General features: G+C 37.9%; 1 protein-coding gene and 1 long non-coding RNA gene across 5 annotated transcripts in view; one reads left to right on the top strand and one right to left on the bottom strand.

Moving 5' to 3' along the window:
- MTMR9 (myotubularin related protein 9) overlaps positions 1 to 27,326 on the bottom strand; it is a 54,711-nt gene that overhangs the window by 11,098 nt on the left and 16,287 nt on the right. For 2 of the 4 annotated variants that reach the window (NM_015458.4, XM_011543831.3), the window contains 7 exons: positions 23,415 to 23,588; positions 22,022 to 22,239; positions 18,741 to 18,902; positions 13,365 to 13,506; positions 11,536 to 11,756; positions 8,591 to 8,742; positions 283 to 5,804 (listed from right to left, as the gene is read on the bottom strand). In NM_015458.4, the coding sequence (NP_056273.2) occupies positions 5,641 to 5,804; positions 8,591 to 8,742; positions 11,536 to 11,756; positions 13,365 to 13,506; positions 18,741 to 18,902; positions 22,022 to 22,239; positions 23,415 to 23,588 (1,233 nt within the window). In that variant the 3' untranslated portion in view covers positions 283 to 5,640. Of the gene's footprint in view, positions 1 to 282; positions 5,805 to 8,590; positions 8,743 to 11,535; positions 11,757 to 13,364; positions 13,507 to 13,539; positions 13,565 to 18,740; positions 18,903 to 22,021; positions 22,240 to 23,414; positions 23,589 to 27,326 lie in introns of those variants that run through there. The other 2 variants (XM_047422125.1, XM_017013753.3) reach the window with 2 other exon arrangements.
- On the top strand, positions 3,001 to 12,570 carry MTMR9-AS1 (MTMR9 antisense RNA 1). Its single transcript, NR_189628.1, has 2 exons — positions 3,001 to 3,113; positions 6,829 to 12,570. It is a non-coding gene; the product is annotated as an MTMR9 antisense RNA 1 (long non-coding RNA).

Genomic DNA, 27,326 nt, shown 5'->3' with positions numbered 1-27,326 from the left:
AGGGTCACAATGTCTGCAGCTAACTCGGATGTTTCAGCAAAATAACAGTGTAACAAACACACACACACACACACACACACACACGTGGTATTAAAGCAAATATGGAAAATTTTACCAATCATTCAATATAGGAACAATCTAGGGAGATCAGTGTACTATTTTGCAGCCTTTTTGCAGATCTCAATTTTTTCAAAATGTAAGGTAAAAAATATATAGATTTAATTGAAACACCATCCAAACCTTCACCAATATTTGAAAAAAAAATTCAAATAAGCCCACAGATTTAATTTATTAGCACTTAAATATATTCAGATTTTATTACCATCGTCTATAGAAATTTAACACTAGCCATCTGTGCAACTGTCCTCTGAGGCAGAGGAACACCATACGCAAATATTACACACTAAGAACAGTACCACATTCGACAAGACTCTTTCTTGATTCAGTAAACCAAGCTTGACAAACCGGCCAACCCAAGGTGAATGATTACAGTTATAGGGTACAGGGGAAATTATCACCTAGTGAATATTACAAACAATATTAAAATGTTACACAGACTTACAAAAGTTCTGCTTTTTTTTTTCCCTAAGACTGTATGTATATGTGTGTGTGCGTACACAGGTTCACAATATGGAAACCTGTACCTTACAGCACTCTTGAGGTTTCAGCAAAGCATACATTATAGACATATTTGCCATACAGTGCAATTTTATTGTATAAGCCATGAATAATAGTGCACTTAAATCCAAGAGTCACATTCAAATATTATCAAGAGAACAATCCAAATACCCGGCTATTGAAGAAATACACATTCTTTGTTTTTATAAACTAAGTTCTGCAACTACAACATTTTTTTGTGTAGATGGTATTAGATCAGTAAGGTTTTAAACAATGAGATTTAGGGTGCATTTTGTAGAATAATTCACCTCTCCAAAGATAACGTGCATTTTAAAAGTGAAGCAAATGTCTTGGCCAGACAAACACAGGCAGTGTTGTACAACTCAGTTTTATTACAAATCACAAATATAGTTAATCCTTAGACCTGCAGACGGTTAAAGAGAATGGCTCTAGAAGTCAGTAAACTCTCATCAGAATTACTTTGCAGGACAATGTAGTGTTTACAGTGAGCCTCATTATCTTCCACTAAATTGGGCACAAATTACTGTTCCACAGTGTAGTTCAAGAGCTGGAACATTAAGTTTCTTAAAAAGGATTTAGATAACAGGTTCAGGCATTTTAATATCCAGTCCTAGAATTTCAGAGGGTCTCTTCTGGGACTATTGGTTTAAAGGAAGATGCTGTGGACAGTGGATTATAAAGACCAAATGAAGGTAGAAGTAATTTTATTCAAGAAAATAAAGAAAACTGATACCATAAGAAAGTTATAGTATCAGTATATATTTTATCATCTGAGAATAAATGTAAATGGATAAATGAGTCTTTTTTTTTTTTTTTTTTTGAGATGGAGTCTTGCCCTTTCGCCCAGGCTGGAGTGCAGTGGTGCGATCTCGGCTCACTGCAAGCTCTGCCTCCCGGGTTCACACCATTCTCCTGCCTCAGCCTCCTGAGTAGCTGGGACTACAGGCGCCCGCCACCACACCTGGCTAATTTTTTGTATTTTTAGTAGACATGGGTTTTCACCGTGTTAGCCAGGATGGTCTCGATCTCCTGACCTCATGATCCGCCCGCCTTGGCCTCCCAAAGTGCTGGGATTACAGGCGTAAGCCACCATGCCCAGCCTATAATGTTTTTAAAGATGATGGGTAACATAAAAATACTATGTGGTAATAACTTAGAATACTAGGTCTGGAGGAGGAGAACAGGCCTAGCCCATGTGAAAGAATAAGCAGTAGCTAATCTATGTGGTCTTGAGGTATAGTATAAACCTGGAAAGTTCTCTGAACCTCTTCAGTTCTGAGGGTTGCCCAATTAAAACAACAACAACAACAACAACAACAAAACTTTATCAGATGTACTGAATGACTTCATTCTCTGATAAATTTCAAAGCTTCCAGAACAGAGGATCAACTATTGTAACTATTGCCCATTTCTGGTCCAGGAAATACCTTTCTGATAAAGAGTGCTCATAAAACGCTTGTGTTGTTTTCATTCATTCTATCTAGAAGTGGGCAAATACCAAAACCTTTATCCCAGATTAAGGTCGGATAATAAGTGAACCTGATGACCTACTTTAGAATGACAATTCAAACAGCTATCCCTGAAACCAGACAACTACACGAGTTATGCCTTGAAGCAGATCTTTCAAAGTGCAACGAAACATTACTCCTGTTTTTCACTTGAGGAGACTAAATTATGGTCATATCTTTTCCATGATACTGATTTTTTATTTAACATAAACCAAATACTGACTGAATCAAAGACTAAAACCCCACAAAATTTCATCCTTTAAAACAAAAAGCAATAAAATCCCACCCCTAAATCAGGCCTCAAAGTTCAAAGAAATGTTTAAAAATCCCCCATATGGGATCTGACATGAATGTCTATTATTGTCCCCCCCAAGTCTTCTCAAAAATCACTTTAAAATCTTGCTTTGAGACCCTAAGTTTTCTTGGAAATAAAATACATTTATAGATTGTTTTAAACCTACTGAATTTTACTATTTCTGCTTGCTTTCTTCCCATTTAATAAAATCAAAATAAAAAATTTTGACCAAATAAATATTTATTGAAAGGTCCTGCCACCAAAAAAGCTTCAGGTTTTTAAAAACATATAATCAAACAACAATGTTCTTCTGATTAAAAAAAAAAAAAGTACTTATTTAAATCTGAGGATCCTTATATGTTCAATAGAGGATTGTGGTGATCCTTTGTATTTTAAAAATATTATTTGTGGGGCCTACTTTACGTATCTCCTGTATAAAAACCAGCTTTCACTCCACATGAATAGAGAAGATGCTGAATACGCAGGAATCTGATTATCCCTCACGTGATTATTACCGGCCCCTCTGGGGCAATCTGCTTGCTCACTCATTCTGCCACCATTCTCTTCATTCAAGTGTTTAACAGCACATTTATCAAAGGCAGCTCTCCGATGCAATGTTTAACGAGTGTCTTCTCAGGAGTGTATCCGTGTCATTTATTCTTCTCATCCAGGTAAGCACGAACTTCACAGTACTACTAAAAATCTTCTTCAAATTATATTGATAATGGACTTATTTCTGACCGTTTTTGGATTTGGGAAAACTCTAATATTTGGATTACCAAATAACACTTCTGTAGATGCACTGATACCGAAGTTTATTTTTACAACCTGTAAACAGATCTGAAGTTTGAACAATCCCTAATTATAAATTAATACTAAAATGCAAACTTGCCAAAACAGTATAGATTGTTGTCTCAGTGAGACAGAGAAAACGAAATGCGAATACCGTGTTATGACTGTACTCTGGCTCGCACAGCAAATGTGCATCAGGAAGATGGGTCTACCTTGATGGTACATCATCCCTCCATGACCAGACCTAATACAAACTCCCTCACAAGTTTCCACCCATGGAAGCCCTATGGCCGATCAACAGAAGCAGTGGGAGTCACTTCTGGCTTTTTCTTTACTTAGACACAGGGTCTCGCTCTGTTGCTCAGGCTGGAGTGGACTGATGCGATCATAGCTCACTGCAGCCTCAACCTCCTAGGCTCAAGGGATCCTTCTGCCTCAGCTTTCCTAGTGGCTGGGACTATAGGCACACACCACCACACCAGGCTAATGGGAGTCACTTCTAAAGAAAACTCTCTAGATGGTTTTCCTTATATGCCTGTTAGCTGAGAAGAAAAGCCTCCTTCATATACAATCTTGAGACAAAAAGAGAAGAAAACAAAAAGCTCAGCTGTATTAACAGACATAGCAAGCAATTCTGAGGGAGCACAAAAAAGTGAGGCTGTTTCCTTTTTTTTTTTTTTTTTTTAACAAAACTAAGATGGACATTTCACACAACGCAGAGCTACGAGAACATCTCTTATGCTCCTTGCCATGGGATTTTAATGCCCCAAGGTTCATAACTACAGCAAAGAAAGTAAGTCAAAAATAAACTGAGCTTAAAGAAGGTGGCAGGCCAATTTTCCCAAAAAGACTGTGGACTGTGGGCTGCTGTGTAGCCTTTGCTACAAGGCTGAGGAAGCAGAAGAAAGATGAATTGGGCAATTGGTGATGAAAAGTATTTGCCATTTTCAAAGGCTTCTCAGTGTGGCCATAGATTTTGCTAGTCAATTTTTAAAAAATTATATTTTTAGCTCAACACACAGCTCTAAAGCAGGGTTCAGTGTAGTGTGTTCTCTACCGAAATGGTTATATACAGATGGTATGGAAATGGTTTTAAAGATTACTCATAAACTATCCTTTTAAAGAAAAACTAGACTCGGTCATATTTGTTAAAATGAGCAATGTCACCAAACAGAAATGTAGGTGGGAAATACTGAACCACAAACATTTGGAGTTGCAGGCATAGACTAGCAGAGCATGAATAGTCATCACTGTTTCTATAATACTGAAACACTCAAATCTGTTTCTGAGGTTTAAAACACAGAGCTATATTATATTCATAAACTTCCCCCTCCACTTAAGTTATATTTGCCTAACACATAATGGACAAATCAATAGAGCCAAAGCAAATTTGCAAAAGGCTCAGGTCAACATGAAAATTTTAACCTTAGTATTAGGAAACTCTTAGAATACTTACAAATTAAAAAAACACACAATAAAACACACATACACATATAAACCAGTGCAATAAGAACTTTAGACAAGGGCAGTGCATCTCTGGTTTAAGAAAACCTATTTGTAGCTTGATTATAATAAATTAACTCTATTCTAGATGATGGTTTAATTTTACAAGCAGCATTTGAAACACATTGTATATGTATGCTCAAAACCTGAAAACCAATTCACCAGTAACAATTCTCAATCAGTAACAAATTCCTACTTTAATTGTATATTGCACATACTTTTAGTGTCTACGTTAAAATAAATTTAACTCTTCTTAATGTAAATATCGGAGGACCATACCTGTTGCCCTTGTAGAAATAATTTACCTTGAATAACAGATTTTCCTTTCTTGACAAACAAGAATGAGAATAGATTTCAGCTTCGTTAGTCCAAAACTATTTTAAAGAAAATGGCTATTTTATGTGGCGAAGACACTGGAAATGGATTGTTAAACACAAAATCCTTGGTTTATCCATTGTTGCCATTTTGAAAAACATTTCTATGGTCAGAGTGTTTAAAAGTCTGACCCTTTTTTTAAACCACCAAATAGTCCCTAGAGAGATTAGCTGTCTCCTTGACTGCTCTAGAATGCTGTTTGGAGAGTGGACACAGAGAAAAAGCTTTGGATAAAATGGCATGAAACACAAATGGCATTAAATAGGTCATCTATTTCACGTAAAAATAAAATGACTAGCACCTCCTTCCGGCTCCCAAAGTGACAGGCCCTAACAGGCCACATGAAACATGGTTTATGATAGTAAGTTTCATTATTCATACAGTATTGAGAAATCCATTACATTAGGGGGGTCCCACATCTAAAGCCTTCACTTCAAGGCTACCGTGTAAAAGTGAACTGAAGGGCACAAGGAGAGAACGGCGGACACAGGCCCAAGAAGGTCCTTGCGAAGGGTGCGAGGAGACCTTTCAGGGACTCTCCTGCATCCCGTCCTCTGTTTCCAGTTCTGCCAACTGCCTTCGAAGGATATTGACTTTTGCTTGTAATTCTTTATTATATTCAATGATGTTAACCATTTCTTCATATGCTTCATCCAAATACTTAGAGGATCTATTCCAACGTAGGAAAATACCTATTGAATCCAGGAATGGAAAACAGAAGCAAGAAAGGTATATACAATGGATTAAAATTACATTTGTGGATAAGATGTAATTTATGTATTATACATTCTTTTTTCTTTTGTTGCCACAACTCACATCTGTATTTTATTATACTCTAAAATATACAGGAATCTTGAGGTACTGAAAAGGATGCAATTGAATACAATATTTGAGAAGTCACTACTTGTATGTACATGCTCATTGATTCTTCAGAAATATCCCACAAAATTATCAAATAGATCCAAATACCATTTTATGATATATTCAGGAAAACAAGATGATAATTTGCAATGTCATAAACTTTCCAATTTCACAATATAAATCACTTATTTTTATAATTATAGAATATTGCTCAGACATGTAAGATCCCTTAAATGTGTGAAGCCATTTTCACCTGAAAAGTGACAACTACAGTAAAAGCAGAACCACATATGTTGTTATTTGAAAGCCTGAACTGTAGCCCACGTGCTTACATGCCTCTCTCCCTGTTACTTGAGAGGCAATCTTTCAATTCTGCAGGCAATTTCTTCTTTCCCCAAATAATAATAATTATCCTTTTATTATGAACCAAAAGGAAATATTTTCTCCTCTCCATAGCCCTATGTTAACTGTATCACACCACAATAATGCCTTACAGTTACTCAAGTCAGGAGGCACGAAAATCTTCCAGGCTGCACCATGTCAGTGGATGGCAAGTTCACAAAGGTTTTATGATTCATTAAAACACTCTCTACAAACCAAACTGCCATGGGTCCTAATGAGCCCTTCTATGCAGCTCCCAACATCAGGCTGTATCAGAAAGGGAAAGCAGAACCACAGCGTAAAGCCTGACCCACCCATGTTGATTTTTCTAATTCAGGAATTTCTAAATATTAATGGTTAGCTGTGATGTAAATGTAAACAGCAGAGAGATATTTTAAGGCCGAAGAGCAGTCTTATTCAATATAGATGCCTACCATAGGATTTTACCTAATAGAGAGCTTCTTCTTCTCCCAGCTCTAGGTTGAGGAGCATGAAACACACACTGAAACTCCGGCATGGCAGGACTTAATCCACAGAACAAGGATTTCATCCCATCACTTATCTCTAAGCTCCACAAGGAGGTTTGGTACAAAGCAATTAAATCATCCTTCAGGCCACCCAGCTCCCAATGTGGGTTTTCTCCCAAACAGCTACGCTCATTTCAGTTATTAAATGTGACAGTGGCTTTAAGTACATTGTCCCAGAAGTCCTAAACAGGAAGAATACTGTAACCTCTCGTTTAAGAGATCATGAACCCTGTACTGACTGTGACGACAATCACGAAAGTAAGCAAAGAGAAGTTCTGAGCAGTCACCATCCCTTCACAAATCAAAGCACTAAAGCTCACACCCAGAACCTCAAGACCATCTAAGACCATTTCCCCACAATGCTAACTAGGGGACACTTCAATAGATAAGATTAGAAGCATGAACTGAGGTGGAAGGAAGCCACTAATGGCAGATAAGCCAAGAGGAACTAGATGTGACAGCTGACATCCAGAGAAGAGACAGAAACTGATTTGGTCTCAGACTCAGAAGCCAAAGCAATCTGAGACCCGTTTCCACAAAGGGCAAATAGTTTTCCACACGTGAACTGCCTTTGAGAGTATAACATACTAGAATACGGCGTAACAACTGGCATTAACGGTAATTCGGTTTAATTTAACAAACAGCTACCATTCTTGTATGTATACTTTATGCTATTAAACATAAACATGAATAAATGTGTGCTTATTATCTTCAAAATAACTTTAAAAATTAAATGGTATTTTAGAGGCTTTGTTTAATGAAACACTATATAGTTCAGATAGATTTTGGTTATTTTTATCTTTATTTTTATCTTTTTGAGAAAGTCTCGTTGTGTCACCCTGGCTAAAGTGCAGTAGCATCATCTCTGCTCACTGCAACCTTTGCCTCCCAGATTCAAGTGATTCTCCTGCCTCAGCCTCCTGAGTAGCTGGGGCTACAGACCCGCACCACCAAATTGGCCTGTTTAATTTTTGTATTTTCAGTAGAGATGGGGTTTCACCATGTTGGCCAGCCTGGTCTTGAACTTCTGACCTCAAGTGATCCACTCACCTGAGCCTCCCAATGTGCTGGGATTACAGGCGTGAGCCACCACACCTGGCCAGATTTTGGTTATGTTTTAATTAATAAGCTTCCATACTTAAGGGGATAAGCTTCAATAGTTGGAAAAATCAGTGCATATAAAAAATCTACTTTAGAATAGATTTAAAAATTAAGCATATAGTCCCATAAGAACAATGAAATATCTGTGTTACTGCACTGATGGTATTTTGTGCCCATTTATAGAAACTTACTGGAATGCCCAGCCATGTAACTCTTTAATACCATTTAATACAAGAACCTATCCTAATGACTGCTTCATTAAGGGACAGAAACTCTCCCTGATGAGCTTACAATTTATTCATGTCCCAACTACTTACCAACTCTCTTAGGCAAAGAGTAAGGTACTTTCTTATCTAGAAAAATATCCAACATAAACAGCAATGTAAAGAAACACTGTTAATTTCTCAATGGTAACTGAAAAAAAAAAAAAGTGTGGCTAGATAACTGATTTGAAAGAGAAAAACATGCCCACACTGAGAATGACAATTCACACAGGTCTGAGGGCCACGTCCAGCTCACCATCTTCATACATCACCAACAGCACACACTCACAGGCAGCCGCATGCACACCTGACCGTTAAGAAGTTTGCAAAGGATGCGTGGTTTACCTTCCCACAGTGGAAGACTCTGCGGAGCAACTGAAGGCCAGATGACAAGGTTGTTGGCTTCAAAGAGGGGATTGGTGAATTTACTCAGCTCACTGGGCTGATTAACCCAGGACCACAAAGACATCGTCTTCTGCTGTAGCTTCAACTTACATCTGATCAAGAAAGAACACTGCCATTAAAGTAATTAATTTATAACAACCATTATTGAGTGCTCCTCTTACGAGGACAATTTCTTCTCAGTATGAAAGAAGATAGAATACAAGACTTTTGGTAGAGAAACAAAGTGTTGAAAAATCAATAGATTTGTCAAAAAGCTCAATCGGCATTAGAACTCTCAACAACAACAAAACAAAGAGTATTTTACAGGCTTCCAAGAAGCTGGCAGGAGGATAAAAACAGAATCTGGTCACATCAGGTTTGGTGTTAAACCTTAACCCAGAGAACATTACTGTACACAAAAGTCCTTTGTTATATTTGGGATTCTATTTTAATTAAAAATAGCTAAGCATAAAAAAACTTTCTAACCTTTTTGTTTCTGAGAAGCCTATAATATAAACATAAAAATTATACACTTTTTGACATTTATGTCCTATTTATTTTTCTAGTTTCTTTAAGAAAGGGCTTGTTGTGCAGAAACAACCAGGATAGCTTACAAATATGAATGTCTGGAAAGACCCCCAGGGTCTTCATTATTTACATTGTTTGATAACCACTTTCTAATTGTTTTTTTTTTTAATTTTTTATTTTAATTTTTCCATAAGTTATTGGGGAACAGGTGGTATTTGGTTACATGAGTAAGTTCTGTAGTGGCGATTTGTGAGATTCTGGTGCACCCATCATCCGAGCAGTATACAATGAACCCTAATTGTAGTCTTTTATCCCTCGTCCCCCTTCTGTCCCTCCCCCAAGTCCCCAAAGTCCACTGTATCCTTCTTACGCCCATACTAATATTAAAAGTGGAGGTTGAGTCAAATCTCAAACAAAACTTAAAATTTTTTAGAGACTTAGCTTTTAGGGAAAATAACTTACATGTACATAAAATACAGATTGTCAAAGATGAAAAATCAATGTGAATCTTGACATAAATACATATTTAATCTATATCCACATACAATGAACAGGCTTCATAATAATTCTAAAACTCTGGAACACTCTTTATCATGTGAATAAACTGTTAGAGAAGGATAACAGTCGATCGGCATGTTTTAGAAAAAAATACATTTTAACACAGATTGAAAGACAGTCTGTGGTAAACCTTACATCAACCAAAAAGATAATACATTCAATTCTCATAAGACTCAGTTTAAGCTGAGATTTTATTATAAAATCAGTTTTGTCTCTGAAACCACATGATTATTTATGAGCTACGTGCAACTTACTGCATTCTTTTTGAGCTAGCAATAAAAATAATCCACATAATCATAGAGCCTATGTGGCATTGGACTTTAACTGCTGGGATAGCATGTCCCACGCTATGTTCCCAGGAACCAGGGATGACAAGGACAGGACATTATTGCATCCACTGCCTCCAGCCCTGTGCCCCCTGCCCATGGCCGGCCAACCACTGAACTTGCTCTGGCTGAGCCTGACACCACTTCAGAATCCTTCCCATCAGCATTGCTGGCAGCCTCTACCAACTGGGAAACAGAATGGGAATCTATTTTGATCCCTTCTTGAAAGCTAGTCCTGAGGATATTAACAGGTATAACACCAAAAAAAATTCATCATCAAACACATTTCTTAAATGCTGAATTAAACTTATATACATTGCTTTACTGAAGAGTGTCTTAAAGCCTTTAATGATTATGCGTTAATCATTAAATCCTCCCTTCTAAGTGGGGGAGTTAATCCTCCCCTCTAAGTGGGGAGGATATTATGTCATATTCACCAAACTTCCTTGGCTATAGAAATTGCCAATCCCTCCTGTCCCTCCCTGCCAGAGTACAGTCCAGGGCTAAGCAACACATGCTTCAGAAAATGGTGGCTGCCAGCAATGAGGCAAGGAAGGCTGCTGATTGTACCCTGAAGAGATTACCAGGCAACCTCCCTGAAAGATCATTCTGATGTGAATCTTGTAAATGAACCTATACACTTGATGGTGCCTGGGCTGTAAGGTGAGCTTGCCACTCTGGGCCTGAGGACAGTTTCTAGGTGTAACAAAGTCTGGAGCAGGAGGAGGAAGACCTGTAATTTAGGCCAGGGATCCCCAAACCCCAGGCCATGGACCAGTAAGGGTCCGTGGCCTGTTAGGAACTGGCCACACAGCAGGAGGTGAGTGGCAGATGAGCGCGTATTTCCACCTCCTGTCAGATCAGCATCAGATTCTCAGAGAAGCGCAAACCCTACTGTGAGCTGCGCATGTGGGGAATCTAGGGTGCGCCTTTATGAGAATTCTCCTTATGAGAATCTAATGCCTGATGATCTGACATGGAACAGTTTCACCCCAAAACCATCACCAATCCCGCTGCCACCCAATCCAAAGAAAAGTTGTTATCCACAAAACTGGTCCCTGGTGCCAAAATGGTTGGGGATCGCTGCTCTAGGCCACACTTTTGATGACCAACTGACTCTATGTCCTGGGAAAAGTCACGTAACTTCTCTGGATCTTACTTTCTTAATAAAATTAGAGGGAAGACCTGAATTATAAATTAAGGCTTTTTCCACATGTAAGATACTATGATCCTATGTTAAGAAATTAACATTTAAAATGGTTGCCCCTTAATTCACGTATGGACTAATTTTAACCTAACAGAACAAAGTCTAGGACATGCTCTCATAAAAGAATATACTTCAGGTCATTTAAATTATAATTAACTGTAGCCTCTACCTTTTTATAAATAATTTTAATATAGATCCAAATCGTCGTCTCCTAGGAGATTCTGGCTACTTAGGAAGTAGCCAAAACAACGGAAAAGGAAAGGTCCCCATGTGAGCAGTGTACTCACCTTTCACTTTCATTGTTGCCCAGAAATGTTCCAAACTGTGAGGCATAAGCATGCTCAAAGAGCATGATGAGGAAATTCTCATTAAACTCAAAAGAACAGGGAAACTGACGAAGGATCTGCCACACGCAGTCCAAGAAGAGAAGAAATACAGGAGCCTCCCACTTCTGCTTGGTGTTACAGTAGGCTGACTGTGCACAGCGCTGCTGGAATGGGTGACCAGCCTAGGGGGAAGATGGAGGCGTGACAGTCATATCCTGGTGAGATCACATGACAGAGCATTCTACCGACACCACTATACACAATTACAGTGACACTCCTAGTACCTGGAACATCATATAATTAGGGTAGCTGTTGTACAGATTAATGATTTCTTGGTATAAAATAAATAGCGGCAGCAACTAAGGAAAAAGACACACTTCCAAATCCTTAATGAGGCTGCGCGGCTAAGGTGTGACCACAGGAACTGCACTGCCCTTGGAATATCCCATGGAAGAATAATGAACTTAAGCAATAATAAACTTACAAAATAAACCTTTCTAGGTCTACAAAACCTGGAGCAAAGTCAAAGAACATAAGCTCTCAGTACAAAGAAGAATCATCACCTCTGTCTAACACTGTAGATTGTGCTGTACACTAAACAAGCCTCACCCTAAGTGGAGACAGATATGGAACTCTGATCACCTTTATAATGTCAGCTCTGATAGTAAATCTCTAATTATATACGAAAAGTTATTGTGTTGAAAGATCTTTATGAGTACTTTTCTACAGGAGATAAAGCTGTCATTAATTACCCTCTTCTCCCAAAATGAACAGCAAGAGTCTGCCATCTACTGACCAAAGTAAATTTAAGACTCATTTGACTGTCTTGTTCAGAACCCAAATGCTGACCTTAATACAAATCATACTCTGCTAGGAATTTCACAGATCTGCTTTGTCTCTGGGTCCTTCTACTACTGTATGTGACAAAGGTAATGACATAGAAATTTTACAGTGGTTCACAGAATTGTGATATCCATTAAAATAACATAAAAATCAGTCAGTCATACTCATTTGTTTGTCTACTATGCATCATGAGGAATATAGCTCAATAGACTTTCATCAAATATGGAGCATAAACTTAGTATGGTCTGACTTAAACAGAGGTAAGGTCAGTTGTCAGGCAGGGTGGACATGGTGTACGTAACAGCATTAGTGCATGATAAATGCGAATTGTAACCAGAGGAGCAAGATACTCTTTTTGCCAGAAAAATGTCTGCTTTCAAGATATGTAAGCATTTGTGTTCAAATACAATTATTTACCAGCTTACACAGTAGAAATATATTGAAAAGTAATCTCTGTGGAGGATATCAATCCCTGTTATGAGTGAGACTTTTATTTTGGCAGCCATCCAACATTACATGATTCAGTTTTATCTTTGAAGGAAGCTTCACAGGGTGGAGCAGCACGAGCAAAAGGCTTTGAAAGGGTTAAAGCGCTTTCCTTGCAACTACAGGCCCCACTCCCCCTTCCCCGACTGCTTATGTCTTTGATCCGTCAAGACCCAGCTTCTGGGAGATTGCACTATGCTTCCCATTCTTTGTATTTCTCCTGTATGTGATAAAGCACAGCCAACAGGAGTTTCCTAAGTGAAGGAAGTGTCAAGTGAGGAATACAGGCAAAGAGACATCCAGAAACAAGGAGAAGACAGATTAACTGTCCTGCAGTAAATTAAACACACAACTTAGAAATTTTAATCAATCGAAATTTCACACATTATGTCAGCTACCACACAAAGCAGGATCACAGCATCAATAAGCAGTTCCTCTGTGAATCAAACAGCTCTTCTCACCTGCAGCCACTCTCTTTCAATCAGGGCCTCAAAACCACGAATGGTCCTGCTTCTTGGCTCTAAGATGATCTGGGCCAAGGAGGTCACCTGGAGTGTGGAATCAGTTCCTTCTGTTCCGTGAATCAATATTGATGCTCCTTCCCTGATAGGAAAATCAGGGAAGAGTACAAATGGGAAATGTCCAACATGGTCAATGAACTCTGTTAATAACAAGCGTTTATTGAGCACAACATTTTAGTCTACTGAGTTCAGTTTATTTAGTGTATTGAGTACAACATTCTGCTCTGACTTGTAGAGTTCAGAATCTAAATCTAAATCTAAGGCATACGATAGATAAGATTCTCTTGGGAAAAAATACGACTATAATGAATCTCAAATTTCACATGGCAAGACCTCTTTAAGTTATAACAAATTTCACAGAACCTTTTAGCTGAATTTTTCTTTCCCTTTTCAAAACCAAAAAGCAGCTCTTAACACAGAAGGCATTTACCCTTTCTGCTTTAATCGTTGGTTAAAGCCTCTTCTCATCAAAACTATAGACATACACTAAAATTATTTTTCTGACTTTGACTCTACCTTTCCACCATCAGCTGACTATAAGGACACCTTCATAAACTGTAATTCAATCTGGAAAATGAGACCTAGACCACACTTTGAGAAACACGACAACAGGAAAAAAAACAAACATAAAAGTGTCAATCTAGAAAGTCAGTTGTAAAGATACCACTGCATCATGAGACTCAGAAGTGTCTGGGACCCCATTATTCTAAAGAGAATGAAAGAAAACACCAAAACTAAATTTACTACATCTTCTCCCCTCCCCTTCTTCTACCCTTTCTGTTGAAACAATGAAGGAAACTTTGGAAAAAATAAAAACCACCAACTTCACACAAAAGCTTCGGGTTTGGTTACTACTGTCAGTTTTTACCCATGTACATATACACTACATAGAGCTTTAATACGAGGCAATTTCCTCTATTCTCACTCTTATTCTACACTCGTATCCTTCCATGTTTGTAAGTCATCTTCAGAACTAGGATAATAACAGTTGCAGGCATAGCTCGTTCATGGATCTTCCCTTGGTTGCTCTTCACAGATACTGCATTTTCCACAAATGGGAGATTTGCAGCTATCCCACGTCAATTAAGTATGCTGGCACCCATTTTCCAACAGCATGTTTTACTTTGTGTCTCTGTCTCATTTTAGTAATGCTCACAATATTTCAAAATTTTTCATTATTATTACAACTGCTATGGTGATCTGTGATCAGTGATCTTTGATGTTACTTCTACAAGTTTTGGGGGCATCAGGAACCACGTCCATATAAGACAGTGAACTTAATCAACAAATGCTGTGTGTGTTCTCACTGCTCCACTAACCAGCTGTTCCTTTGACTCTCTCTTCAGGGAGACTCTCTATTCCAGGGATCACAACAATATTGACATTAGGCCAGCCAACTAATAACCCTACAATGGCCTGTAAGTGTTCAAATGAAAGGAAGAGTAGCATGTCTCATTTTAGATCAAAAGCTAGAAATGATTAAGCTTAGTGAGGAAGGCACGTCGAAAGCTGAGTCAGGCCAAAAGCTGGGCCTCCTGCACTAGTTAATCAAGTTGTGAATGCAAAGGAGAAGTTCCTGATGGAAATTAAAAGTGCTTCTCCAGCGAACACATAAATGATACAGTGACACAGCCTTACTGCTCACATGGACAAAGTTCGAGTGGTCTGGATAGAAGATCAAACCAGCTGCAATATTTCCTTAAGCCAAAGCCTAATCCAGAGGAAGGCCTTTACTCTCCTCCATTCTACAAAGTTCTATGAAGGCTGAGAGAAGTAAGGAAGCTGTAGAAGAAAAGTTGGAAACTAGCAGAGGCTGGTTCATGAGGTTTAAGGAAAGAAGCAAACTCTCTTGTCAGCGAAAAAATGCAGCTGGTGACTTTAAGCTGAAGCCAGTGATTATTTGCAATTCTGAAAATCCTAGGGGCCTTAAGGGTTACACTAAATCTACTCTGCCTGTGCTCTATAAATGGAACAATGAAGCCTGCATGACAGCATGTCTGTTTACAGCATAGTTTACTGAATAGTTTAAGTCCACTGTTGAGACCTACTGCTCAGAAGAAAAGACTCCTTTCAAAACATCACTGCACACTGACAATGCACCTGGTCACTTAAGAGCTCTGATGGAGAGGTACATGGAGATGAATGTTGTTTTTCTGCCTGCTAAAACAACATCTATTCTGCAGGCCATGGATCAAAGAGTAATTTCAGCTTTCAAGTTTTATTTTAAGGCCATAGCTACCCTAGCTAGTGATTCCTCTGATGGTTCTGGACAAAGTAAATGGAAAACTTTCTGTAAAGAATTCACCTTTCTAGATGCCATTAAAAATATCTGTGATTCATGAGAGGAGGTAAAAACATCAACATTAAAAAGATTTTGGAAGAAGTTGATTCCACATCTCATGGATACTTTGAGGGGCATAAGGCTTTACTGGAGAAGTCACTGCAGATGTTACAGAAATAGCAAAAGAACTAGAATTAGAAGTGGAACCTGAAGGTGGGGCATGGTGACTCATGCCTGTAACCCCAGCATCTATGGAGCCCAAGGCAGGAGGATTGCTTGAAGCCAGGAGTTTGAAGTTAAAATGAGCTATGGCTGTGCCACTGCACTCCAGCTTGGGTGACAGAGGGAAAGACCCCATCTCATAAAAAACAAAATGCTGGGTGCAGTGGGTCAGACCTGTAATCTCAGCACTTTGGGAGGCTGAGGCAGGAGGATTGTTTGAGCTCAGGAATTTGAGACCAGACCGGGCAATAAACAGAAACCACATCTCTGTTAAAAATTGAAAAAAAAAATTAGGTGACCGTGGTGGTGTGCACCTGTAGTACTGGCTATTTGGGAGGCTGAGGTGGGAGAATCATTTGAGCCCAGGAGTTCTAGGCTGCGGTGCGCCGTGATCCTGCCACTACACTCCAGCCTGGGTGACAGAGCAAGGCCCTGTCTCCTAAATAAATAAATAATTAGGAACCTGAAGATTTGACTGAATTGCTGCAATTTCATGATGAAACTTGAAGAAATAAGGAGTTGCTTCTTATGGATGAGCAAGAAAAGTAGTATCCTGAGATAGAATCTACTCCTGGTGAAGATGCTGTGAATATTGTTGAAATGACAAAAAAAAAAAAAAAGATTTAGAATACCACATCAACTTAGGTGATAAAGCAGTGGCAGTGTTTGAGAGAACTGACTCTAATTTTGCAAGTTCAACCGTGGGTAAAAATGCTATCAAACGGTATCACATGCTACAGAGAAATCTTTCATGAAAGGAAGAGTCAATTGATGCGGCAATCTTCATTGCTGTCTTGTCTAAGAAATTGCCACAGCCATTCAAAGCTTCAGTAACTACCACCCTGATCAGTCAGCAGCCATCAATGGGGAGGCAAGGCCCTCTACCAGGGCCAATAACCTCAAATACCAATAAAGTATTTTTAAATTCAGGTATGTATATTGTTTTTTTAGACATAATACTATTGCACAATTAACAGACTGCATTATAGTGTAAACATAACTTTATATGCACTAGAAAACCAAATATTAATAATGAATGTGACTCACTTTATTGCATGACTTGCTTTACTGTGGTTTTCTGGAACCAAACCTGCAACATCTCTAAGGTGTGCCTGTGTGTAATATCCTATTAAGTGATGAACTGCAATTTACTTAATCCTATAGTTGGACATTTAGGTTATGCCAATTTTTGTTACATTGTAGATGATGTACTTAGCTTTTTGTCTTCTGTTGAATTCTTTGGGGGTTCTTAATTTAAAAGTAACAGATTCCCTGAAGTCACTTATGGTTAGGCTAACCCCATTCTCAGGATAAAACCTAATGACTAGGCTGAAGGGGATGAGCATGTACTTTAAGGCTTCTGTGTATATTGCATATGTACCTTAATTATCTGTGGGATATTCTGAATTCAATTCATTTAAACTCTATTTTCATGTTTTCAGTAATTAATTATAAGGGCAAATTTGTATGGAGGTGAAAATAATAGGCCAATATATATCAGAAAAAGGGACTCAAACATGGCAAAATTAACCAAAACCCTGAACCTTCCCAAGAGTCTGGAAGTCTCTGCCTTTGAGGTGGCCAGCTCAAACTAAATGAAGGTGGAAATCATGAGAACTGTTCTGCATTCTGCACTGAGGGATGTCTTAATCTGTATCATCATGCTGTCACAGCTGCAAAATTGAGAAATGTGGTGATTAACTGTTTATTACAATTCCTGTTTCATAAAAAAAACAGAAGCCTCTGTACTCATAATGTAAGGAGAAATCTGGTAAACTTAGGTTAAAAAGAAAAAAACCCTCAGTATTAACAAAATCATTATGTATTTGTTATTTCTCTGCCACAGAACCTTGGTCTTTAATTCCCACAGTTTATTAGGTAAATGGGCTTCACCTAACGCCTAAAACAGAAAGAACAGGGATAGCCTGGCAATCTTGACCCCAAGGGACTCTACCTTGATGGCTCTGTTGCTAACTTACCACATGATTTCAGCAACCCATTCTATTATGAATTTCTCTATAACCATAACAAATTAGGTATATATTTCCCTAATTTGGAAGCATCAATAAAACAAGTTAAAGTCTCAAAGAAAAGTGCCATCTATCCATGTGGTGATAATACTTATATCTACCTACTGTTTCAGTGGAATCCCCTTCTTAGAAACGGCATTCTAAGCTTCTGCAAGAATTTGTGCCAATCCTTCTGCCTCTGTTCAAGTCTTCTGCCACAAGACTCAAGGATTAGCAACCTTTAACTGAGTGAATTAACTATATGAACTAAAATCACTTCATATACTCAACATCACTACCACTAGGTGTTCTCAACTTGAGATCCAGATGTAATCGCACATATCAAGTAGTATGAAATAAGATATCCCGGAGGTTAGAAAGGATCATTTTACTGTGTAACAAAATTACGTTTCCTTTCGCTGATATTTCAAAAGTAAGGAGGTAAGTTCGCTCCTCTAAGAAAAAATAAGAAAACTTCCTTTCATTCTATTTCACAGTTTAAGAAAAAAATTGGCAAATTCATGATTTAAGGGTGTACTAGAAAAAAAAAACGGGTCCATTAGTACTTAAAAATTTGTGTCATAGAAGACATGTATATTTACCTGGTTCATATTTATGAAACAAACATTATCTATTAAATGCCAGACTCTAGGCACACACCTCATCAATAATGGGATGGTGTTGACTAGCCTACACAGTAATTTACTGCAAACTTTCACATAATCTATAAACATATGTCTGGATAAACACAAAGTCTAGTTAGCAGCGCCATGTTTCGCTCAGGAACGCTGAAATGCACTTTACCTGTCGATGCACTGAGCCGCTAGGCAGGCAGTTGTCAGAATCTCTTTGATGTGAGTCAGCCAGTTAGAGGCCTCCAATTTACTGAGCCATCGGTCCATGTTATGTGTTTGGTCATTACAAGCTTCCACAAGTTTGATTAAGCTCTCCTGAAGAATGTGATACCTTTTAAAAGTAAGAAAGTAAAAAATAACAAACCCAGAAAATAGAAAGATAAAGAAACCAAACCAAAGATTCAGCCTCCAACATATCTAAGAGCAAAAGTAGTTCAAAATACTATAAAAATATTTACCCTGCTATAATTTGAGGATTAAAGGTTGAAAAACTAATATTTAAACATTGTTGCAAAGGCTTAAAATGCCTGCCATGGTAACGTATTCCTTACCTGAACAGATTAAACCCAGTTCACATACCTGGATTATCTGACTATAGGAGAGGCCAGAGCCCTGCGTTTCATGACAGGTCAGGAGACACAGCACCACTTACATTTGCAATCCTGTTCCCACCGATCTAACACTAGAGACCCAGTGCCATCAGCAGCCTTACCCAACCCAGCTTGGATCCCACTGTTTTCTAGCTACAGCTCCCATTCACCCACCTAGAGACACTTATAAATCACTCTTTTACAGTACAAACAAGAGACAATAGGTGGAGGAAACTGTGCGAAAATAGGTCGATATGGGGAGAAATTAAATCTCTAAAGTCTTTGACTTAGGAAAATATAAGTATATGTAGCAAATCTGTTCAGTGTAGCAACTGCTGATCTACCTGCAGAGGAGCTGGCCTTGTGGTGATGAGACCACAGGGTTGGCTTAGAGAAAGAATGCTAGTGAAAGGGACTCCTGCAGGCCTCCAAGAGCACAGCTTTCGCCTATCAAACACAAAGGCTGGCTGTTCAAAAAGAAAGATAAAACTAACAAACCTTTAGCTGAAGGTTCTTTCACTAAAAACAGAGAGAAAAACAATGCAAATGCATACAATCAGAAATAAAGATGAGATATTACAACTGATATCACAGAAATACAAGGGATCATAAGAGACTACTGTGAACAATTACACATTAACAAATTGACTGGATAATCTAGAAGAAATGGATAAATTCCTAGAAGCATACAACCTACCAAGACTGAGTCATGAAGAAAGAAAATATGAACAGACCAATAATGAGTAAGGAGATTAAAAAGACCTCCCATCAAAGAAAAGCCCTGGTCCTGATGGCCTCACGCAGTACCTGATTTTAAAATATGCTACAAAGCTAAAGTAATCAAAACAGCTTGGCACTGGCATAAAAACAGACACATTGACTAATGGAACAGAATAAAACCCAGAAATAAATCCATGCATTTATGGTAAATTGATGTTTGAAAAAGTTGCCGAGAACATACAATGGGGAAAGGAGCTTCTCCCATGAGTGGTGGTGGAAAAACTGGGTATGCACATGCAGAAGAAACTCAACCCTTACCTCACACCATACTCAAAAATCAACTCAAAGTAGATTAAAGACTTAAACATAAGGCCTGAAACTGTAAAAATCATTAGAGGAAAACATAAGGAAAAAGCTTCTTGACATTGGTCTGGGAAAAGTTATTTTGGATATGACCTCAAAAGCAGAGGCAACAAAAGCAAAAATAGACAAATGAGACTGAACAAACTAACAAGTTTTGCACAGCAAAACAATCAACAGAGTAAAGAGACAACCTATGGAATGGGAGAAAACATTTGTGAACACCACACTGGATAAGGGGTTAATATCCAAAATATGTAAGAAACTCAACTCAACAGCAAGAAAACACAAAACCTGATTAAAGAATGGGCAAGACCTGAACAGACATTTCTCAAAAGAAGACATATAAATGGCCAATAGGTATTTGAAAAAAAAAATGCTCTGCATCACTCATCAACAGAGAAATGAAATTCAAAACCACAATGAGATATCACCTCACCCCTGTTAGAATGGCTATTACTAAAAAGACAAGATTTAACAACTGTTGTTGAGAATATGGACAAAAGGGAACCCCTGTACAATGCTGGTGGGAATGTAAATTAGTATGGCCACTGTGGAAAACAGTATGGAGGCTCCTCAAAACATTAAAGATGAAACTGCAATAAGATCCAGTAATCCCACTTCTGGGTAAATATTTTGAATATCGGAAACGAAATCAGGATCTCAAAGAGGTATCTGCATTCCCACGTTCACTGCAGCACTATTCACAATAGTCAAGATATGGATTCAACCTAAATGCACGTCAATGGATGAATGGATTAAGAAAATGTGGTACAATACACAATAAAATACTATTCAGCCTTAAAAAAGAGGGTAGGCCAGGCACAGTGGCTCATGCCTGTAATTTCAACACTTTGAGGGGCCGAGGCAGGAGGATCACTTGAGGTCAGGAGTTCGAGACCAGCCTGACCAACATGGCAAAACCTGGTCTCTGCTAAAAATACAAAAATTAGCCAGGCGTGGTAGCAGGCACCTGTAGTCCCAGCTACTTGGGAAGCTGAGACAGGAGAATCACTTGAACCTGGGAGGCAGAGATTGCAGTGAGCTGGGATCGTGCCACTGCACTCCAGCCTGGCTGACAGAGCAAGACTCCATCCCAAAAAAATAAAATAAAAATAAAAAAGAGGGGAAGCCTGTCATTTGCAATAGCACAGATGAACCTGGATGACATCATGCTATATGAAATAAGTCAGGCACCCATGCACAGAAAGATAAACACTGCATGAACTCACTTATATGTGGAATCTAAACAAGTTAAACTCATAGAAACAGAGAGTAGAATGGTGGTTGCCAGAGGAAGAGAAAGTAGCAGGAGGGGTCGGGGTAGGAGGGACACAGATATGGGGACATGTTGATCAAAGGTAACAACAAAGTTTCACTTAGGAGGAATTAGTTCTGTAGGTCTATTGTACAGCATGGTAACTGTAGTTAAAACTAATATATTGTATGCTTGAAAACTGCTAAGAGAATAGATATTAAATGTTCTCACCATCCAAAAAAATGATAACTATGCGACGTGATAGGTTAATTCACTTAATCAGTTCACAATGTATATGTATATCAAAATAGCACAGTGTACATCACAAATACATGTAATTTTTATTTGTCAATCAAACCTTAATAGAGCTGACCAAAAAAAAATGAGAAGATGGCTAGCCCATCATTGACCCTAAATTAATGCAGAAGTTAATTTGAGCACTTGTGATTTTCAAATGGCTAAGGCCTTACCCACTATAATTAGCTTCTAATAAGAGTCTGTACTATCTTTGGAATCTTTTACCTCTCAATGGACTTATGAATTCGCCTCCACTGAGGATAATGAGCTTCTTGTTCAAAGCCACCTCCTTTGGCTCTAGTTTGCTGAGCCACGTTCAGGGATCGGGTGTCAATGATGTAGCCACGCTTTCCAGCCCTGAGGGTAGCATTTATCAGCTTCTCGTCCTCCTTGCACCTCCTCCCGTTTGTACCAGTGAGTGGCTGACCACTTCGCATAATTACCTAGAAGCATAATAAAGCTGAAAATTCAACAGCAGTTGCTTTTAAAGTTTCTGAAAACAGAAAGAAATTAGCTAGATTAAGAGTATCTCAAAAACAATTGTGTGACACTCTGCAGATGGATTTGATCCATAAACAAAGAAATATTTGCATGTATTGACAATAGTTAATAACTATAAAAGATAAGCCTTAAGCTTTTACACAATTTCTCTGTCTCAAAATACTGTCACATAATAAATTATATCTCCTCTTTAAGATCAAATATTGCAATTCATTTAGTGTGTGAATCAAATACCTGTAGACCTGGACCTGTAATAAAGACAATAATGGCCTATGAGCCAGTAAACCTTGACTTCAACTAAACATACATAGAGTTGGCAGGTTTTAACAACAATTATAAGAAGTAAAGGCACCAGTGGCAAAATTTAAAAGTTCAAACACTGTTCTCATTGTTTGGGAAATCATTTTCACTACCTCAGAAGCTGACTGTCTATTATGTATTCTCCAGTGGCCTCTACCATCCTTTTCAGTATTCAAGGATTTAACTACTTGTTTCTAAAAACTACCCCACCAACTATACATCTGGAAATGTTTGCTTTTGAAACTTTTCTCTAGAAATCAATGTCTATTATACTAATCTCTTCCCTGGCGAATGGTTTAGAGTTCTTTCAAGACGCCACCATTACAAGGTAGTTATCTTAACTCCTTGTTTAATCCTGACTCCAGTGTTTACTAGAGTTGTGACTAAATGACATGAGCATCACTCTTTTCACCTTTGAAAATAAATACGTCTGCTCCACCTTTCACGTGTAAAGTTGTTAAGAAAAATTCAAGTATTTTACCATTATTCTGAACAGAGAAATTTCTCATTTTTCTACCAGAAGAATGTTGCTGTAAGCATCAAATAAACACTAGTTTCCTTTGTATAGTGTCCTGGAGATAAAGCTATCAGGGCTTTTATACGGCTGAGCAGGATCATGGAAAGAATTCAGCATCACATCCTCACCACAGAAAACACCCTACTCCTGATTCCCTAAAGCTTACATGAAGGAAGCCCTTGTGGTGGAGACCTGGACAATCATTTCAGTGAACAGACAGAGAGCAAAAGGGAACATTTCTACGAAAAGATCCCCAACCCAAGCCTTTCAGTACATCAAGCAGTAGTGCTGTGCACTTACCATCCCATTTTTTTTGTGGTAATAGCTTAGTACTGGGAAGCGCCCTCCATGTCGAAATGTAGCTACCTTCCGAAGAGCTTCATCATCGATGGATTTGGGCACTGTGACAATTGGTGGGTAAGAGGGACAGACAGCAAATTCCTTATTGACATAGCTTAGCCTCCATTCACTGGTCTGAAAAACACAAAATACTTCAAAGCTAAGCAACTATCTCAATGTCGCAAAATAATCTGAGAAATTTTAAAAGACCTTAGAGGTCAACTTTCACTGATGAAGAAGCCATTTCTCAGGAATTTCACAGGTGGATCTCTAGCTTATATGTAAGTAGCTGCAGAGAAAAGGAGCTCTATGGTTCAGGGCCAGCTTCCTGCATTGCTAGGTATCACCAGTTCCCAGAAAGTGCTTTCTCACACTGAGCAAAACTTGTTGCTCTGTAGCTCCCTCTATTGGTTTTTACTGTACTTTCAGACAACACCGTACAAGTTCCCTATTTTACACGGTATCCCATCAAATGTTTGAAAGACAGCTGATCCTCCTTAGTGTTCTATTCTCCAAGTTAAATATATTAAGCACATCCACAATTATCACGGCCAACATCATCCTACTTCTTCCTTTTCTGGGTCCCATTTAGTTTGTTAATGATCCTCTTAAAGCACAAGTAAGACTGTACGACTCCAGATAATGCATCCCCAGAACAAATGAGAACACAGCTACTATCTATATCAAACCCTTTGTTTATTTTAAAAAAGGTAAAAAATGTACTAAGATTGGTAACACCTTTCTTAAAACAGTACCAACTCAATACTAAGGAAGGTTAAGCTTAGGAGTCAATGAAATAATTTCAAACTGAGTAAGGACTAGAAGTATACAATATAAAACTATCAAATGACAACTTATTTTAAACATCAGAATTAAAAACAGCTTGAACACTGTCAAAAGGTTTTACAGTAAAAAAAAAAAATCAAATTATATGTAAATTTCAATATGTTCTGTATATCTGAGTTGGCCTAACCATGGGTTACAATAGCAGGAAGATAAAGCTAAAAAGTATGTTAGACGTACTAACAGACAAGATTATTACTTTTAAAAAATGCTTTTATAAGATACAGTATCACATTTTTAATTAAATTTTTTCACTTTTCAAAGTTATTTATGTTACCAGTTTAAAAACATAGTTTCTAGGCTGGGCACAGTGGTTCACACCTATCATCCCGGCACTTTGGGAGGCCAAGGCAGGCAAATTGCTTGAGTTCAGGAGTTCAAGACCAGCCAGGGCAACATGGCCAAACCCCATATCCACTAAAAATGCAAAAATTAGCCAGGCACAGTGGCACACACTTGTATTTCCAGCTACTTAGGATGCTGAGGTGAAAGAATCACGGGAGCCCAGGAAGTCGAGGCCACAGTGAGCTGTGACAGCGCCACTGCACTCCAGCCTGGGCAACTGGAGTGAGATTGTTTCAAAAAATAATTAATTAATTAATTTAAAAAAAACACAGTTTCTAAAGATTTATTATTTTTAAAAAAATGTAGTTATCTGTTCCTTGCTAGCCCATCCCAATTTGCTTTCCCCAAAGGCAATCATTTTCAACATTTTTAGCTTTTTCAGTGTTTACCTTTACATTTCTAAACAACATGATAATACTGTTATTTCTTGAACTTTCACTATGATATATTATTATTGATTTCCTACTCTGGAGAATGACAGGGCTCTCCATTGATCTGCAATGCCGCTTCTGTTGGTCCAAATGTACTGTGCTCTCCATCCCGTCGCACTTGTCCACTTTAGTAACTCCTATAGCTTTTAAAATAAGTTTGGTATCTAGTAGGCCAAGTGTCCTCCTCTCACCTTTTTGTTCTTCAAAGAGTAACGTGGCTCCTCTTGGTCTTTTGGTCTTCCATGCAACTTTTATCAAATTCAATATAAAAACCAACTGGGGTTTTTATTAAGATTGTATTGACTTTATAAATCGGAGGGAATGACTTACATCTTTAGAATATTCAGTCTCTCTATCCATGAGTATATTGTCTTTTCCATTTGTTTAAGCTTTCAAAATTTTTTCCATAAATTTTTATAATTCTCTCAATAAAGGTCTTACTATCTTTTCTTAGATATATTCCTAGAAACCCAATAATCTTTGTTGCATTTTAACTGCATCTCTTCAAAATTGTGTTTGGTGTACAGAAATGCCTATGATCTCAAGATTCTTTCCTTTTCCTATGTAGACAAGCATATAATCAATAAATATTGACAATTTTGCTACCTTCATTTCAATCCCTATACCCTGTATTTTTCCTTCTTGTCTTATTGAGCTGACTAGAAGTAGTCACAATGGACATCCTTGCCTCATTCTTGAACTTAGAGAGAATGATACAAGATTTGCTTTTTTTATGTTTTTGGTTTTGGTACCCATCCTTTATCAGATTAAATAAATTTCCTTCAAATCCAACTCTAAGAGCTTTTATCATAAATAGATATTGATCAAACTTTTTTCCTCTGTTAATCTAACACCATGCAGGTCATTTGTCTTTTAACTTTGTGGTATTTTCTTTGCTTTATTGTTCAGTAGCTGAACAACAACATGTCTAAAGATTTTTTTATTATCTTGTATGGTATTTGCTGGGATACCTCAGCTTAAGGGTTCAATAACTTCTACTGATTCTGGAGAATTATCAACCATTATGCATTTGAATATTGTCTTTCTTCTATCATCACCTTTTTTTTTTTTTTGTCTTCCTCTTTTTTTTTTTTTTTTTTTTTGGAGACAGGGTCTTGCTCTCTCACCCAGGCTGGAGTGCAGCGGCATTATCACTGCTCACTGCAAACTCAACTTTCTGGGCTCAAGCCATTCTCCCACCTCAGACCCCCAGGTAACTGGGACCAAAGACACACATTATCACACCTAGCTAAATTTTTTCATAGAGATGGGGTTTCACCATGTTGCCTAGGCTGGTCTCAAACTCTCCTGAGCTCAAGTGACCTGCCTGCCTCAGCCTCCTTAAGTGCTAGGATTATAGGTGTGAGCCACCATAACCAGCCTCTATCATCTTTTATCCTAAACTCCCATGTAATAAATATTGGATCTTCTTCCTTTATTAAGCATGCATGTGTCTAACCTCTCTGTTTTTCCATCTTCCTTCTCTGTTCCATATTCTGAGTAATTATTTCGGATCTATATTTCAAATCACTTATTTTCTCCTAAGCTGTTTCTAATCAGCTACTTAACATTTGCATTAGATTATTCTTTTATCTTCTTTTTAGTCAACTTTGAGACAAAACTTATAAAAAATAAACTGAATCCATTTTGACTACACAATTTCATGAGTCTTGACAGTTGTATACACCTGTGTAACACCCAATACTAGGAAATCACTAACCTGCTTTCAGTCACTTTTGGTGTCATATCTAAAAAATCTCTGTCTAACTGAAGGTCATAAAGATTTTCTCCTGTGCTTTCTTAAAGAGGTTTGATAGTTTTAGTTCTCATGTTTAGTTGCATAATACATTTTAGTTAATTTTTGTGGATGATGTGAGGTAAGGGTCTAGGTTTATCTTTTTTACATATGGATATCCAACTGTTCCAATACTATTGGTTGAAAAAGCTATCCTTTCCCAATTGAATTGTATTGGTACTTTTGTCAAAAATCAACTGAGCATTAAGGGGAAGGTTTATTTCTGTACCCTGTATTCTGTTTCATTGGTCTGTATGTCTTCGCTTACAGCAATACCATACTCTCTTGATTACTGTGGCTTTACAGTAATCAAGTGTTTTCTCAAAGCTGTTTTGACTTTCCATATAAACTTATATATTTAAATTTGCATTTCCATAAAATTTGTATCATTTTGTCCATTTCTACAAAAACACCTATTAGAATTTTAACAGGGATTGCACTGACTCTACAGATCAATTA

The sequence above is a fragment of the Homo sapiens genome, chromosome 8 (assembly GCF_000001405.40).
Source record: "Homo sapiens chromosome 8, GRCh38.p14 Primary Assembly".
NCBI classification, from domain to species: domain Eukaryota; kingdom Metazoa; phylum Chordata; class Mammalia; order Primates; family Hominidae; genus Homo; species Homo sapiens.
This window is presented reverse-complemented; position numbering and strand designations above follow the sequence as displayed.